At 40.1% G+C, this 16,920-nt stretch overlaps 1 protein-coding gene and 1 long non-coding RNA gene across 6 annotated transcripts in view; one reads left to right on the top strand and one right to left on the bottom strand.

Moving 5' to 3' along the window:
* RCAN2 (regulator of calcineurin 2) overlaps positions 1 to 16,920 on the top strand; it is a 271,235-nt gene that overhangs the window by 166,121 nt on the left and 88,194 nt on the right. Inside the window, exon 1 of one of the 5 annotated variants that reach the window (NM_005822.4) lies at positions 199 to 457. The exons of the other annotated variants lie outside the window; for them this stretch is intronic. Within the exon in view, the coding sequence (NP_005813.2) occupies positions 371 to 457 (87 nt within the window). The 5' untranslated portion in view covers positions 199 to 370. Of the gene's footprint in view, positions 1 to 198; positions 458 to 16,920 lie in introns of those variants that run through there. 5 annotated transcript variants of the gene reach the window in all.
* LOC101926915 (uncharacterized) overlaps positions 1 to 16,920 on the bottom strand; it is an 89,185-nt gene that overhangs the window by 39,659 nt on the left and 32,606 nt on the right. The window lies entirely within an intron of this gene.

The raw sequence follows: 16,920 nt of genomic DNA, 5'->3' as shown, positions 1-16,920 counted from the left end.
CAGTTCCTAGCTAACGCTGCTTGAATTGATTTAGTCTGAGTTCAGATTTAGCACATAATCATGTTCAATTTGCTCCACTGCACTGCCTAGAGATAAAAGGCTTGGAGAAAAAAAAATAGCTTCAGCTTGTGTCAGTCTTTGTGGTGATGTCATTGCCATGAGCGAGCCGGGCCGTTCGTTACTCTGCTGTGCTGCCTCAGACGCGGAGGGCTGCGTGCAGTGGGAGCGGGCTCCAGGAGCCCGAGCCTCCAGCCGTCCCCAGAGCAAGGCAGCACCGAGGCCTGGCCACAGCAATATCCATCTGGAAGCTCTTCCCTTCACTCCCAACTCTGAGGTTGCCTAACTCTTTATTAAAAATTCAGAAGGGGGAATGCCAGCCCCTAGCATGGACTGTGATGTTTCCACTCTGGTTGCCTGTGTGGTGGATGTCGAGGTCTTTACCAATCAGGAGGTTAAGGTATGCACCTGCAATCTTATTTTTCATTGTTGCTGTTACTGACGCTGCTTGGCAGAGCCTTTTTAGCATGAAGAAATAAGACTTTGGTTAATAGTTTTCAGCTCATAGTCTGCGCTAGAAATGCATGTAGTGAGTGCATGGCTGCATTAAGTAGAATAAGTTGGAAGAGGGACCAGCATATTATTTTTAAATATGACAAGGTCTGCCATTGTTTCTTCTTGTCTTTTTTATTAGGTAATCCCTGGTCAGTCCTTTCTGAGTAGACACATTTTCATATTCTCATATTGTATCTTTGTCAATAAGGAGAATTTTCCAGCCCTCAATGTCAAGAGGGATTTTGAATCAATGATTACATGAAGAAAGCACACATAATAAACCCAGCATCCAGGCCAGCCTGACAGTGGGGCAATAACCCTTTCTGGCATGTCACTTAAATATCCTGTGATGTGGTCTTCAAATTAAACAATAGCTGTTCTACAGATGGCAGTTTCAGTCCCCAGCTTTCTGGAAATCAAAGTTGGAGAACAGCTGCCTAAATTTTCTTTGTCAGGCAAAGAAAGCAAGTCATTTTCCTTGAGCAGTTGTTCATAAAGTTTAGGCATAAATATTTCGCATCTTAAGGCTTAGTATTATACATGCTGGTCCTCACTGATTGCCGGCAGCAGTTGTTGACTTGTCATAGGTAATCGTCCTCTGATGATATTCATTCCCTTTTATTTTCCATTTGGCTTTATATTATGGAGAAGATGCCAGGCTTGCAAAATGGAAATGTTTATTTTTTCTCTCATATTTAATAGAAGAACTAGCTGAAGCTTCTTATTTAAACAGTTCACTCACACATATACACGCACAGAAGGTCAGTTGTTCATTGTGTGGTGGGAGGAATAAAAGGTGAATTACATTGCATAATCATTTACCATCCTTGCTTTAGTCTTAACTTAAGGAAAAACCCTGAATTCTTTATTGTTGGGTGTGCAGGTGACACCCTGGTGCTTTACAGGTGGGGATTTATGTGTTCTTGGCATAGCACATGGCTATGTCATTCAAGATTGCAGCTTTAACAATCTTTTGAAATAGATTTGATAATCTGGCATTTTGTTCCTGAATATTTTAAACATGTAGCCCTGTATTTACTAATTTTTGTGTCAGTGCCATGGAAATGTCTACCACCTGTCATATGAAGGTTCAGAAAATAAGGACATAAAGGTTTGGCACTGTCTGTGATTGCATTGAGAATGGAAACATGCATGCAGAGACCCACAGTCCTGCCAGTCGTACTTCCATAGCACTTGAGAAGGGAGAGCAGTCATTTAAAGCCAGCGTCAAGTCCAGTGTGGGTAACCAGGTAGAGAGACATCTTCCAGTAACCACTGGAACATAATTCCATCTATGGAGAATAAAACTTCACAGCTCCCTTCTGTCCTCAACAGTTATCTGTTGTTTACACACTTGCCCTGAGAATGTCATAAAATATTCTAAACTTTATTCGTTTCAGAAAAGATAATGAGAAAATATTTATTGGAGATCTGCAACATGCCAGGCATTGTGCTTATATAGGAAAAAGTTTAAAATATGCTTATATGGCATATGTATCTATGATATAGCTATAAAAATAACCAACTGCCGAAGGTTTCTTTAAAGACAAAGAATATTTTGTGGAATTAAGAGGATACAAAGTTGTTACAGCTGGTTGTATGTGAGTGGTTGGGGTGGTTTTATGGAAAAATGATACTTAAAGATGGGTAGATTTTATACAGAAAGAGAGAAGGCACAGCATTTTGCAGTCTAGTGAGTCAATTCTTTTGACTGCAGTAGGTTCTCTATGAGAGATTAGAGGCAAACGGGAAAGGAGGTGAGTCAGGGCTAGATGGTGAACAGCTGATGCTGTTCTTCATAAATTTATGAGGTTTTTCGAGGAAGACTGTTACCAGAAATATGTGCTACATGTATTTACTGCCAATAGCTCTGAATCATCATGGGCTTTTTTCTTTTCTTTTTTTTTTTTTTAGAAAGGTTACCTAATCTTTCTGGGCCTTAGTCTTCTCATATAATGTGAGAATAGTAGTAATTTCTACCTTATTAGCTTAGAGACAAGAGAATTTTACATGTAGAATAATTAACACAGTGCCTGACTCCTATTTAATGCTCAATAAATGTTAGCTATCACCATCGTCATCATTGTCATCTTTGTAGGCACTCTCTGAAAGTGATAGGTAACTTTTACCAGTTTATCAGAATGTCCTAAATCCAGCTGAGTTTACAATGACAGTCTAGCACACAGAAAATGTTTTCCCTCCCACCCCACTCCCAATACACACAAACACTCTAGCCACTTAGAAAACATGGCTTTCCATTTTTGATATTTAATCATCTAATGTAAAGCAGTAACATTATTAAAAAGCAAAGATCTACGTTGTGCTTATTAAAAAGGGGGAAAATGAACAAATTAAGGTGGGCCAAATGTTATGTGTTAAGAAAACCTGCGCTCCTTGTTCAAAACTGACCATTACTCTTATCACGAAGAAAGGTTCAAACGTAAAATTCTAGGCACCAAACAAAGCTTCCCCAAAGGTATCTGTCTTCTTCATTCATTACTAATAACTGGTGGAGCCAAGAGTTCCTTCTTCAAAATCTTTAAGGTTTATTGTCAGAGAAAAGGGAGGCACATGGAAAGGGTCTGTCTCACCTGCTTACATCCATCTTGCTTAATCTCAGTCTTGTTTGTTTAATAGGCATCCCCACTTTCTACATGTAGCCCCCATGGGCAAGCAGCCATACTAGGGGGATGCAACCAGCAGGCCTCCTTCATAAGTATGGGAGTTTATTTGAAATGGGTAGAAGCATCCACAAATCTAGTTTCCCATAGTGACACAGAAAGCCTCATCCTCCAGTGTGGCTCTCAGCTGATTGTATTAGGGGCCCTTCTGACTCCAGTTTCCTAAATTTCATCAAAGCTGCTCAAGCAATAATACTAAAAAGAGGAGGAAATCAGACAAATGGAATTCTGCCATATTTGGCTTTCTCTGGAAATTCCATTGGTGGTGTTGTGAACTTAGCCGTCTGTTCTGCAATGTGAGAGTTCTCAGAAAGATCTAGAAGTTGAGAGCCCTCAATAGAAAATGCTATAGGGGAACTGCAGAATTTCTGTGTGTGTGAATGTGCAGGGTTGATGTTCTCCAGTATTCTCATATTTCTGAAAATAGTCTACCCACTCCACAAAGAGCCAAACCCTTGGGAAAATGAAAGAGATCCAAGAGATTGGTAACGAAATTTACATTTCACTTTAGTCCAGTGGTTCTTAAACCTGATTGCACATCGGTGTCCCCTGGAGATCTTTTAAAAATATTAATGTGCCCAGGCCCCACCCCCAGAACTTTTACCTGGCTGGTCTGAATGGAGCCCAGGCATAGGTAATCATATAAAGCCAGTGTCTTGTCTCTTTCAGGCACAAGTAGGTACAGGTGAGGTCAGCCAAGAATTGTCTAGAGTAAGCTCTGCTTAAGCACTTGGATCCTTATCTCCCCAGCTAAGACTTGATGTATGCAGTTTTAAAAACGGTATCTCTGAGCTGTCAGAAATGTTGACGCTCACCCAACACTTCAGTTCTCCACACCTGCAGTTCCTTCACCTGATTCTGAGCCAACAGCAAATGCTCTTCTTTACTGCTGGCCACTGTGGGGGGCCTTCTCAGAGCTGCAGAGTGCCACCACTCTGCCAGGGGGCATCCAAACCTGGGGCTGCCCCTTCTCTGCAATGGTGGCTTCCTGCACAGAAGAAAGGGTGGGTTCCTTCTCTCTAGATTGGAGGGCTTCTGATTCATGTACCAGGTTTCCAGCCTTGTCTCCATGGGCATCCATGTAGGACACAAGGAATTCACAAAGCTCCCTTCCGCTCATTAGAGCAGGCAGGAAACATGACAAATCTTATAAGAAATACAGAAGCTTCAAAGACCCTTGGCACTTGAGAGATTTGTTCATTCATTCAAAAACATGTGTGGAGCATTTATTACCTACCAGGCAATGCTCTAGGCCTAGGAGTTCGATAAACGTCCCTGCCCTCACGGAGCATATATTCTAACATGAGATGCAGACAATGAAATAGTAAACAAGTAAATATACATGGTAATTTCAGCTAGTGATGAGGGCTATGAACAAAAATGAAGCAGAGTGAGAGATAGAGCATTGATGGGGGAGGAATGGCCACTTTTGAAAAGATTGCCATTGGAAACATCTCTGGGGAAGTGACAGTTTATTAAATGTCATTGTTTCAATGTCATTCAGAGATCTAAAGAAATTTAGAGAGCCATGTACAGAGCTGAGAGAAAATCATTCCACATAGAGTGAATAGTAGGTAGAAAGAGAGGCCATCTTAGCCATCTTATCTGATGTGCTCCTACCTAGTCCCCCCACCAGCACTATTTAACCTGTTTCAATCATTCATTCATTTAGGTACCCATTGAGACGGTCACTGTCTCAAGCTATAATTTATTTTTTTAAGGAGACTCTTTTTCAGAAAACTGTACTTAACCTAATTCCCTCATGCTACGTTTTAAGCCCAATAGCTCTCTTAGGGTAAGGGTAAATACAAGTAGAAGTGTGTTTTCAGCACAGTAATTCTTCATATGCTTGGAATCTTAGGATTGCTACAGGACAGCTCTTTTCTCTTCTGAAAGGCCAAGGCCTTTTTAAGGTCACTCATAAATCCTACTTTCTCTCCTCTGCTTTTGAGAATTTCTCAACATCCTCCCAATCCATGTGACCTGGGACAATCTCTTAGCCTTTCTGGATGCAAAATAATCATGCTGAGAAAAATCCCCTACTGCTCTGTGCATTTTATTTTTCTTTTTACACGATAGTATACCTGACTGAGTCAGAGTCTATTTGTTTTATGCTGTTGTGTGAGTTATGAAAAAGACCAGCACATCATGGCCACTGAGTACAATGAAATCTCTCTGTCATACAAACCACTGGACATTTCAAATCACTTGTTTTGTATGGTGAGAGTGATAGGAGGAGAAGGATGAGGCTGAGTTGGTATGATGCACTTTGTACTCTGCTTTGAGGAGAAACAAGTGACACAATTTAGTATGTGTCACTTGTTCAGGAATTGTTTTGGAAGAGAAACTTAGGTGGGTGTTGGTCAAGAAAGCTGGTTGAACTTCATGCCCATTTCTTAAGTTTTTTGCGAGCACTAGGGTAAGGATCTGGGCACAACCAATCATGACCTATGGCTCTGCAGAGCTCTAAAGCTCTTTAAGAATTTTCAAAAACCATTGTGTTCACTCAGTAACTTAGAAGTGTTTGAGTTGTATATGATTTAATCCTCAGAAATGGTAAACCCTCTAGAGGTATTCATGGTAATTAACGTTCAGTAACCAAAACGTGAAGTCAACTGAAATGCTCATTCCCTATTCAATGACCATAATAGTAATATTAAAAATAATATTTTGTCATACATCTCTAGACCATCTTTGGTTTATGAAGAACAAAAGGCAGTGTGTGTGTGAGGTGGCAAGAGAGATGGCATGTGTATAACAGATTCTAACCCTCCAGCAAAACAAATGTTGCTATTTCTCCGGTAATAACATGGACTAGAATTGAGGCCATTTTGGAAATAAATGAATTAATGCAAAACTGAAAGTTAAAATTAATGATCTCTAAAACAATTCTTTAAGAACTTAACATTCTTAAATGTACAATACTAAACATTTTCTTGCCTCTGAAGAAAGTAGCAAACATCTTTCAGAGAGAGGGAAGAAATGATTTTATGAAAGTGATACTCCCTGAGAAGGTTCAGAGGCAGATTTCTCAGCCACCTATCACATTTGGTAAAGACAAGGTAGACCGTTCAACTAATAACATTGTTAAGTGGGGAAATCAACTAAAAACTTGTTTATCTGTTTAAAGAATCTTTTAACTGTTGAGAAGTAACAGACATTGGCAGTTGCTACCTCTAACCTAAATGTCAGATATATTAAAACAAAACAGCAATTTTAATGAAAAATTGTTTTCCTAAAGAAACAGATTTTAATGTAAAATTCAGAGAGTGCCATTTGCAGTCTTAGTGATTCTGTTTGAGTCCAACTATCAGTAATTTATATGGGTTTGTTTTAGTACTTTCTGATAAAGCTTAGAATTGACACATAAGAAAGAAAATGATACCTGAAACACTTATTATCACTTTATGTGTTTAGGTGGTAAGCTTAATGGGCTTAATAGGCATTGCAACTTTGCAGTGACTAGCCCAGCTTTGCAAGGAGATCATAAACTATCCAACTCATACCTGGCCTAGAATTTCTTTATGTAAAGGGACAAATGTATTTATGTAAAGGTTCTGTATCCTTTCCCAATGCTAAAGCTAAACTATTTCAAAAATAGAATTTTAAAAACACATGGAGAGGTAATTTCAACTGGAAATTTTGAGCAGGTACAAAGTTATATATACCCATTCCACTCTAGCTAGAATGGAGAGTTAATTGTCAAAGTTTTTGAGAATAAAATGTCTACCAAGTTAGACCTTCCCTAGAAAAGGTTCGATATATGTAATTTCATGTTCACCTTTTGGGTAAGTATACCTGGGTAAAACATATGTGTGTACATATATGTATATACGGATATTATACACATGTGCAAATGTATGTATAACATGCATATTTACTATATATTTCTCTTTTTTTTTAACCTTCTGTTACCATAGAAGGTTTTTTCTGGATCCTCTACCTATTCTACAATGGCACATCTAACTAGTTAATGGTAATTGCGTGCTTTTAACTACATCAAGGGATTAAGGGCCCAAAGAAGATTCTTGGCAAGTGAGTTGAATAGAAACTTGAACAATTGCTAAAGGAAACTCCCCTGGGAGTGAAGGGGACTAAGAAATTCATTATCTTCTCTTTTTATTGTTATATACCATAGCAGTGTCCACATCCTTACAGTCTAGTACTACAACAGTTATTCTTTCCAGAATCTAATATATCAGCTCTGAACTATACTTTTTTTTAATGTTTCAAAAAGGTCTTGATCCTTTAGCTTCCAGAAAGATGACTTTAACCTATCTATGCTTCTGTTAGATTGGACTATGTACTAACTTTCATTTCCTAAAACAACATCTTCAATAATGTTTTATTTGCTCCAACAATAGGATACTTTGCTATTTAATTGTAAGATTTTCTTCCCCTACCTCTGGTAGTTCTATAGAAATATGTGAGCAGTGTTCATGCTGTACCCCAAACATTTAACCTCAGGGGACTGTTTACTAAGTTGAGCATTAAACCATCCCACATGTCACCACATGGTGACAAATGTAAGCTCCAGAGATATTCATCTCCATGGATCAATATTATATGTTATCAAGGTGGGCAATTTTAAAACTTCCAACTACTGTTTCCAATCACAAAATTCTTCTAACTACAAGGCATATAACAGGTACTTCATATAATCCCCATTATAGCCCAAGGCATCTATGTAGTTGCCCCATTATAAACAGATTCCTGATATTCAGAGAAGTTACCTTTTTACACAAGATTACACAGCTATTAATTGGCAGAAGTGGGACTTGAACTGTTCTTTCCACTATCGAAATCTCTCTAAGGATTAATTAATAAAGCATTAATCAATTATTGGGGTATAGGCCGGGCGCGGTGCCTTACGCCTGTAATCCCAACACTTTGGGAGGCCGAGGCGGGCAGATCAGAAGGTCAGGAGATCGAGACCATCCTGGCTAACACGGTGAAACCCCGTCTCTACTAAAAAATACAAAAAAAAATTAGCCGGGCATGGTGACAGGCGCCTGTACTCCCACCTACTTGGGAGGATGAGGCAGGAGAATGGCCTTAACCGGGGAGGTGGAGCTTGCAGTGAGCCGAGATCATGCCACTGCACTCCAGCCTGGGCGACAGAGAGAGACTCCATCTCAAAAAATAAAAATAAATAAATGAATAAATAAAAGAAAAGTTATTGGGGTATAAAGCTGGGAAGATAAGACATTGAACTCATATGTAATATTTCATCTGATGCTTAAAACACTGTTTTTGTCTATTTCTTATCAGAAGTGGTGTTATACTACTTGTACATAAATCAGTAGTTGAGATCATGTTAGCTTTTCTTAATAAATCTAATGTGGCAATTGAAGGCATAGCATCTATTTTGGATTTTGTTTTAGAATCTGTTTCAAAATCTAATTATGCCATCTAGTTTGGGAAAAAGAAAAGTTTTCTGGAAAATGCAAGGGTTTCCCTGGTTTGACATGCGCCTGGTTTGACAGCTCCTCCACCTCCTTGCTTATGTCACCAAGCATTTTCCATTGACTCAGTGAGGGATAATCTGTGAAGAATTGTAGGGCAGAGGCAGTGAAAGCAATATTAATAATATTTTACATCTGAACAGTGCTTTCCAAATTATACAAAACTCAGCTTTTTCACAGGAAACCTCCAAGGTAAACAAAGCCACACAACTCATAATGGGAAAACTTGGACTGGGATTCTTTCACAACACAACACAAGATCTCTTGGTGTATTATTATAGCCTGCATTATCAGTGCATCTAATAGAATTGATTTCATCTTCTATGACTTTACTGTGCCTTTGGGTATTGACTAAGAAAATCTCAGCCTACCTTTCCTAGAACAGGACACATAACCCATGAGCAAACTTAATAATAGCAACAATGTATTGAGCACTGACTATTTGTCAGGCACTATAGAAAGCACTTTTATTCATTCATTCAGCAAATATACATTGAATGCCTTCTATGGTCACGGCCTCAGATTAGGCTCTGCAGATATAGGGATGTATAATCCCATTGGATACAAAAGCCTATGTAGTGCTGGCCTTTATTCTCCTCAGTTCCTTTTTCCCCAAAAAGGATGATGCTGTTATGACCTCTAAAGAGGCTTCCTTTGCTGACGTAGGGCATGTGAGAAGGAAGTCTAGTCTCCAGAGTGAGACATCCTGGAGAGAACTCTCTACTTGACCTCTAGGCCACTTGATAGTGTGACCTTGAGCAAGGATCCTTACTGCTCTGTGCCTCGGTTTCCTCAACTACAAACTGATGAAAATAATACTGCTTACCTCATAGGTTGGTGGTGATGGCTAAATGCATTAGAGTATGTAAAACACTTAACATAATGACTGGCAGACAGAACACATGCAAGTAATGTCATTCATTACCATCATCATCATCCTCAGTAGTAGTGGACTTTGTACATGGAATTCTAAGTTTTCTTGCCAGGGAAGTCTACCTTACTTGCCTCTCATTATATCAAACTCTTCCCCTGCAGTTTTCAACTCATCTTTGCACAGGGGCAGCAGTGCCCTCACCTCAGGGACACTCAGAGGTGACAGAACCCTACATCAGAAGGGACTGGCTCAGTTTGGGAGTGAGGAATTACAGGCCCTCCCAGGGAGCAGAGATGCTGCAGTTCTTCTCAGGCTGTGTCTCTTCCAAACCTCTTTTCTTGTCTCTTCCAAACCTCTTTTCTTGTCTCTTCCAAACTCTTCCAAACCTCTCTAGATAAGTGTTCCCTGTAGAACAGGAGACAGCAGGAAATGAGGGGCCTGGATAAACAGGAAGTATCTTCACTGTAGCCACAAGGGGATGTTGTGGAATGAAGCCTCCAGGAAGTTGCTGTTGTTGACTCAGTTAATGGAAAGGGAAGCAGCCTGAATGAAAAAGCAAGTGTAGAACCCCCTCCCTGACCCCACCAGAATTTAGAGACTCCGTGGCTCCTATCACACTCAGAAGAAAGCCCAATCCTTGCTGTGGCCCTCAAGGCCCATCAGACCTTGCCCCAACAGCCCTGCTGACCTCATCTCCTCTGCACCTCTCCCCCTTTCACTCTGCTCTAACCCCCACTTCCTGCCTGTACCAAGCATCCCTTGGAACTTGCCTTTGCTGTGCCCTCTACCTGGAATCTTCTTCCTTCTGGAGCCTACATGGCTTGCTCCTCACTCATCATAGAGCTGTTCCTGACTACCACACCTACACAGACCACAGGCCCCGCTCCACCCCTCATCCTGCCTTGTCTTTCAACACAATCACAAGATGTTGTATTGTGTGTTCATGTATTGGCTCATTGTCTATCTCCACTCACCAGAATGCAAGCTTCATGAGGGCAGGGGCTTTTCTGTGTGTCTACTGCTGCATCCCTAGAGATGCATATGGTAACATGGAGAAAATGTGTGTTTACAAATGAATGATAGACTCCCATTTGCAAACCCTAAAACATGCTGCTAGACCACCTTCTTTGAAAAAGATGGCCTAGATTTCTAGATTCAAGGCCAGTTTTAATAAGCATTCAGACAGAGTAATGTGCATAGCAGAATACAGATGTTTTGAGACAAGATCTGGCTCTATCGCCCAGGCTGGAATGCAGTGGTGTGATCTTGGCTCACTGCAGCCTCCACTTCCTGGGCTCAAGTGATGCTTCCATCTCAGCCTCCCGGGTAGCTGAGACTAGAAGTACACACCACCATGCCCAGCTAACTTTTGTATTTTTTGTAGCGACAGGGTTTTTCCATGTTGCCCAGGCTGGTCTTGAACTCCTGAGCTCAAGCGATCTGCCTGCCTAGGCCTCCCAAAGTGCTAGGATTACAGACAGCGACCACACCCACACAGAATACAGAAGTTTTAAGGCAAGATGCCCATGAAGGAAAAGAGAGGTTGAACTCAGAACCCATTTCTTTAAAATATATCTAAACACCTTTCTTTGGGCAGGAATTTTACATGGAGTTATGGACTTGTTTCACCGCAGTAATGCTTAACTATAATTGTAATATTTACAACATTGACCTTCAATTTCCATTTCTAGTTTAAAACAGTGGAGATAGGTAGAAATTAGATTAATTGCCCAACTGAGTTCAGTTTTTTTTTTTGTTTTTTGTTTTTTTGCTTAGGAGGCATCTTATCCTAAAAAATCTCTGTATTCGGCCATATACACCTACACACCTACTCTGGCTGCTTATAAACTTATATCATAAAACTAGTAAACATCTTTTTTGTGGTTTTTTTTCTTTTCTTTTTTTTTTTTTTTTTTTTGACAGAGTCTCACTCTGTTGCCCAGGCTTTAGTGCAGTGTTGCAATCTCGGCTCACTGCAACCTCTGCCTCCTGGGTTCAAGCAATTCTCATGCCTCAGCCTCCCAAATAGCTGGGATTACAGGCATGTGCCACCAGGCCTGGCTAATTTTTGTGTTTTTAGTAGAGATGGGACTTTGCCATGTTGGCCAAGCTGGCCTCGAACCCCTGGCCTCAAGTGATCTGCCTACCTCAGCCTCCCAAACTGTTGGGATTACAGGCATCAGTCACCACACCCAGCCACTGGGTATGGTGTACCCATAATAGTAAACAATTCCGATACTAAAAAACAAAAAGAAAAACTAAGCTAAAAGCCCCCCACTATTTGTTGCTTGAATAAATAAGAGTAGATTTGAATTATTAATGAGCAAGATAGTGCATGGTGTATTTTATATTCTCACTGTATAATGAAGTACTCCATTTGTAGTGCTTAGCAAAATAGTATTCTATATTTAAATAATTCTTACATATTACTAACAACAGTTAGCATTTATGTAGCCTCAGAAGACTGGAACTCACTTTGAATGAATGTTGCCTCATAACACCTCTTTGATGTAGTCAGGAAGTATATGATTCTCTCAATGAGAAATTCTGGTTAGAAGAGTTCCCCAAATTATATAACAAATCAATAGAGGAGAGATACAAGTTTGCACATTTTTACTTCACGTTATGATTGTATAGTTCTTGAAGTTGGAACCAAGAAGCCATTTGTTATAAAGGTATAATGGAAAGCAACTTGTTCTTTGGAGGCAGAAAGACCTGAGTTCAGGATATTTCTTATTTAAGATTTTCCTTATATGTAAAAAGAAGATACAAATTTAGGTTGAAGGCTATGGGATATAGGTGATCAATAAATAGGAGCCATTATTCCTGATGCCCTGGTATAGCATTAGTGAGACAGTCCCACTTGAGAAATGTGATGGAGCACTCAGTGTGTAGTAGGTACTGCCTCCAGACATGGGAATTCAGGAATGTGAGGCATGCCTCCTGCCCTCAGTGAGTCTCTAGGCTGGTGAAGGAGTACAGGTAGTAAATAAGTACATAGAGAGTAGAACATAGAGCGTGCCATGGTTTGAGTAAGCCCAGTACACTATGGAAGCCTGTAAGAGAGTAGTCTGGGATGAGGAGGGAAGGCTACCCCAAGGAGGTAACCCATGAGTTACAGCTTTATAGGTTAAGTAGGAATTTGCCAGGTGAAGGAAAGATGGGAAAGGAAGAGGCCTACACTAAAGCAGAAATGCCAGAGAGAATGGTGAACTCTAAGAATTAGAGTCCTGGATGAACGTAGTATTACACAGAAACTGGGGTCACATTATGAAGGAGTTTGGGTCTTATGTGCAAGTCTAACAGGATTGGGTCATGGGAAGCATGTTCAGCAGAGGAGTGGCTCATTGCCTAGTCTGACTGGAAGTCCACTCTGGCTGGAGTGTGAACTGTGACTGCACTAAGGCCAACATGCCAAGTAGGGAGCAGAGCCACTTGCAAATACCTCTCTATTAACAGATGAGGAGGCGGCTGCAGTATTGCAGCCAGACCCGATGAGGGCTTGTGAAACTGCAGAGTCCCAGTATCCTTGAATTATGTTGATTGCCTTCTAGTTAGTCTTCTGTCTTTCCTTTTTAAAGAAGAAAGAAGTCAAACTAGAAAAGCAGCCATCTTGAGGATATGATTAAGTTGCCATTCAACAAGGGTAAGGTTTCTGGGGAGACAGGCATATTTGTTGGCACTACACCTAAAATATTCATGAGGCACATTTAGTTCAGCAGGAATATTGTGATTGTCTTCCAGAGAAGAAGGTCTAAAATCAGAAATCCAAACCCTGGTTCCTGCCCTGGGGAATCACTTACTCTGGGCAAGGGAGACAGACTTACAAGCCCAGACAGATATCCCTTATCTAACTGTTCTGCCCTGATTCCTCCTCAAATTCCTAAAAACTCGTAAGTGGAAATTCAGTGATGTTAAATGCTGGACTTAGAATATTCTAGGCACCTCCTGAGAGCAAATACACATGCACATACATAATAACATCTCAATGTTATTGCTAAAATATTTTCATAGGGGCTAAAACTCCCGAAGTTGACCATATACCACGCTAGGAGAAAGAAAAGTCTGATACCATGTCCTTGTACTTAACTGTTGCCATCATAGCACCAGCCTTGCCTTAGCATGGCATGTAACCCATGAGTTACAGCTTCATAGGTTAAGTATCTACATTTAGTAGGTGCTGAATAAAGGTTGGATGAGGGCAGCAGGATGGAAGAAGAGGCGGAAGGAGATAAGCCCCTCTGCCTATAGGGGCAGACTCCAGAAGTTACACATATCACTTCCTCTCAGATTCAACTGGACAGAAAATGAGAATATGGACTCATCTGGACACAAGAGGGGCTGAGAATATCACCTTTTTCCTGTGTGGTCCTATGCCCAGCTAAAAGTCAGGATTCTATTATAAACAGAAGAGGAAGGTGGATATTGGGAGACACATAACAATCTCTAGTGCAGGTGACAAATGAATCCTTTAAATAAATGACCAGAACTCAAGTTCTAGGATTCACATATGCTAAACAGCAATCCAGAGGGAGTTAATAAGTCCTGAAAACACAGTCTTAGGAGAAGTTTGTCAAGATTTCATGAAACAAGGAAGCTTTGATCTGGGGTTTCAAAGGCATGGCAGGTACAAGGCACTCTTCAATCGGATTACTTCTTTCTAGGTCAGTTGGAGAGATTACGGCCCGGTAGGCTGCTTCTCCAGTCCCACTTCCATGCCTTGGCACTTGCAGTTCTTCCATGCTGACTGGGCATCCCATGCACTTACCCTGTTGTATGTGTTGCTGCCATTCACTTAGGTAATTCTGTTCATTTGCAGGTAGATCTCTATTAACAGATGACAGGACCATTTCTGATCAAACCCAGAGTATCATTCACATCTTTTACAGCCATTGGTTGGGGCGTGAGTTGCATAGAATAAACCAGTAAGTTTCTGCTTATGTAGATGTGTCCATCCTCAGCCTTTCCCAACCCTTTTAGATGCAACAGAACCCATGATACAGCCATGGGCTGTAGAGAGACAGAAGGAGGGCTGAACCAGGAGGCAGAGCACTGGGTGTAGTCTTCAGACCACTCACTTTGGGCATCATGGAGAGGGAATGGGATTTAGAGCCAGACCAGCGTGGGCTGGAACCCTGGCCCTAATAGTTACTAATTTTGCAGTCTTGGGAAGTTTTCCCCTCTGTAAAGTATGTATAATAATGCTACTCTTCAGGGTGTTGTAACTGAAATAAGAATGTACCTAAAGCATGTAGGTACTCAATAGATGGTTGTTATTGTTATTATTGCCTCTTCTCTAAATTTTGATATTGAAAATACCTTAAGTTCTACTGAGTCTATTAATGATATTTAGCTCTCTTAAAGACACAGCAGTTCTGCTATATTGAGAATCATCTCCATCCAAAAAATATATGGCATTTTTCTGAAATTCACTTAATTTCTAAGTAAACTTCCTACATAGAGCATCATCCATTTTTGTGAAGGAATAAAAGAAAAATCCATCAGGTCTTTCTAAGCTTCAAATAAAAATAACTCTTAGACAAATTCTCTATAAGGTCACTAATTTTGATGATATCAGTTGCTTCATTTGGTACAACACTGTGCCAAAAATAAAAAATTGTTTAAAACAGCTATTTATTTGCCAGTACTATGGAGAAATAAGCCAGCAACAATCAGTATTAATTCCACTAAGAGATTTCTTTGGAAGAAGTATGAATCAATCTTCATTCTTTTTTTTAAACAAATATTAGAAAACAAAGTTTCTTCACAAGAGTGTTAAGCCGGGACACTGCATGCTTCTCATTCATTCCACCTTCTAATTTGTGTTGTAGAATAGAAGGTCTGAGCACAAAAATTTTATAATTACTTCCTGATGGTATTCCAGCTTCAGATTCTTTCTTGTGCATGGAAGTAAAATAAACTCAAGAGTACCTTGAACTCTTTAATTCTGAATGAGCACAACATAATACCATCTGAATGCTTCAACTTCCCTTGAACCTTCTGCTTTTCTGCTTGATCCTCCTACACAATTATTCCAGGCAATTATTGTCATTACTCAGGCATGGAATCTGAACCCATCTTTACTAACTTCATATTTAAGCAAAACCAAATCTCTTCAGGTCTTTTCTACTTAGTGAAAATTCAGAAACAGTGTTTAAGAACCGGGTATGAATTGGAGCACTTTGTAACACCCAAAGGATGGGAAACACCTTACCTCAAAATCTTAGTCTACCAGGGATGGGTAGTATATAAGCACCATGACAAAGGTGCAAATTTAGTAACTTGGGCTTCCTCATTTTCTTTTAAGTTGGGCAAATGAGGAGGACCAGTTCTATCTAAAAATTAGCTTTTTTAGGCTGGAAGTTGCAAAATTGGCCACCTGCAAGCCAAATCCATAGGTGCATTTTATTTGGCCTGTACAGTGTTGTTTAAAATTGAATTCCTTACTAGTCTTTAAACATAAGTAAGATTTGACATTAAAAACTATCTTCCAAATTCTCTTAAAAAATTGGTAGAGCTGGTATCACTGGGTGTCCCTTCCCACAGACCACCATTGGCTCAACATGAGCTAGGTCTGTCCTTTTCATAGAGCAAGCACTCTCCAATTGAGCCACTCCAGGTATACACAGGGAGTAGTGAGAAATAATGCTGTGGAATGAGGATAGGTCATTGATAGGTCATTCTATGGATGACCTTGAGCACCAACCTAAGCATTGTCAATTAATTGTATGAACCACAGGAGAATCATCAGAGTTTCAAGAGCCATGATTTAGGAAGATCATGGTGCCTCTGGAGTCCAGCCTAGCTAGAAGAAAGGAGAAAATGGGGGTAAGGGAAATCAGTAAGGAGGCTATTACAACTTATTAAACAACCATGTCTCCTTTTTTTAACCCCTCTCTCTTAATACTATGTGAAAATTCCTTAGAGTGAACTGGAAATAATTCTGGACTAAAAATTAGACAACTAGGCTCAAATTACAGGATGGCCCTTATTAGCAAAATGCATGGGCAAGACTTAAGCATTCCAGGCCTCTCTTTGCTTATCTATGAAATGGCAATGAGGGTATTACTGACCTCTCAGGATTATGGTGATGATAAAGTGAGAAAACATTTTAGATAATCTTTGTGGACTATATCATCATTACCTCCTGGCTTCATTTCTGCAAACTTCTCCTGAACAGCAGGCTTACCCCATCTCTTTTCTATTGATTAGTTTTGACTTTACTCAAGTTATTTCCAAGCCTGGAGCTCTCCAGGTCTTCCTGTTATATTGACCTCCTTAATTAAGGCTTTAAGTCAAGATTGAAAGGTTGAAAAGGACTGTAGAGACAAGTAAGTGTCCCCTATTT

The sequence above is a fragment of the Homo sapiens genome, chromosome 6 (genome assembly GCF_000001405.40).
Source record: "Homo sapiens chromosome 6, GRCh38.p14 Primary Assembly".
NCBI classification, from domain to species: Eukaryota; Metazoa; Chordata; class Mammalia; order Primates; family Hominidae; genus Homo; species Homo sapiens.
This window is presented reverse-complemented; position numbering and strand designations above follow the sequence as displayed.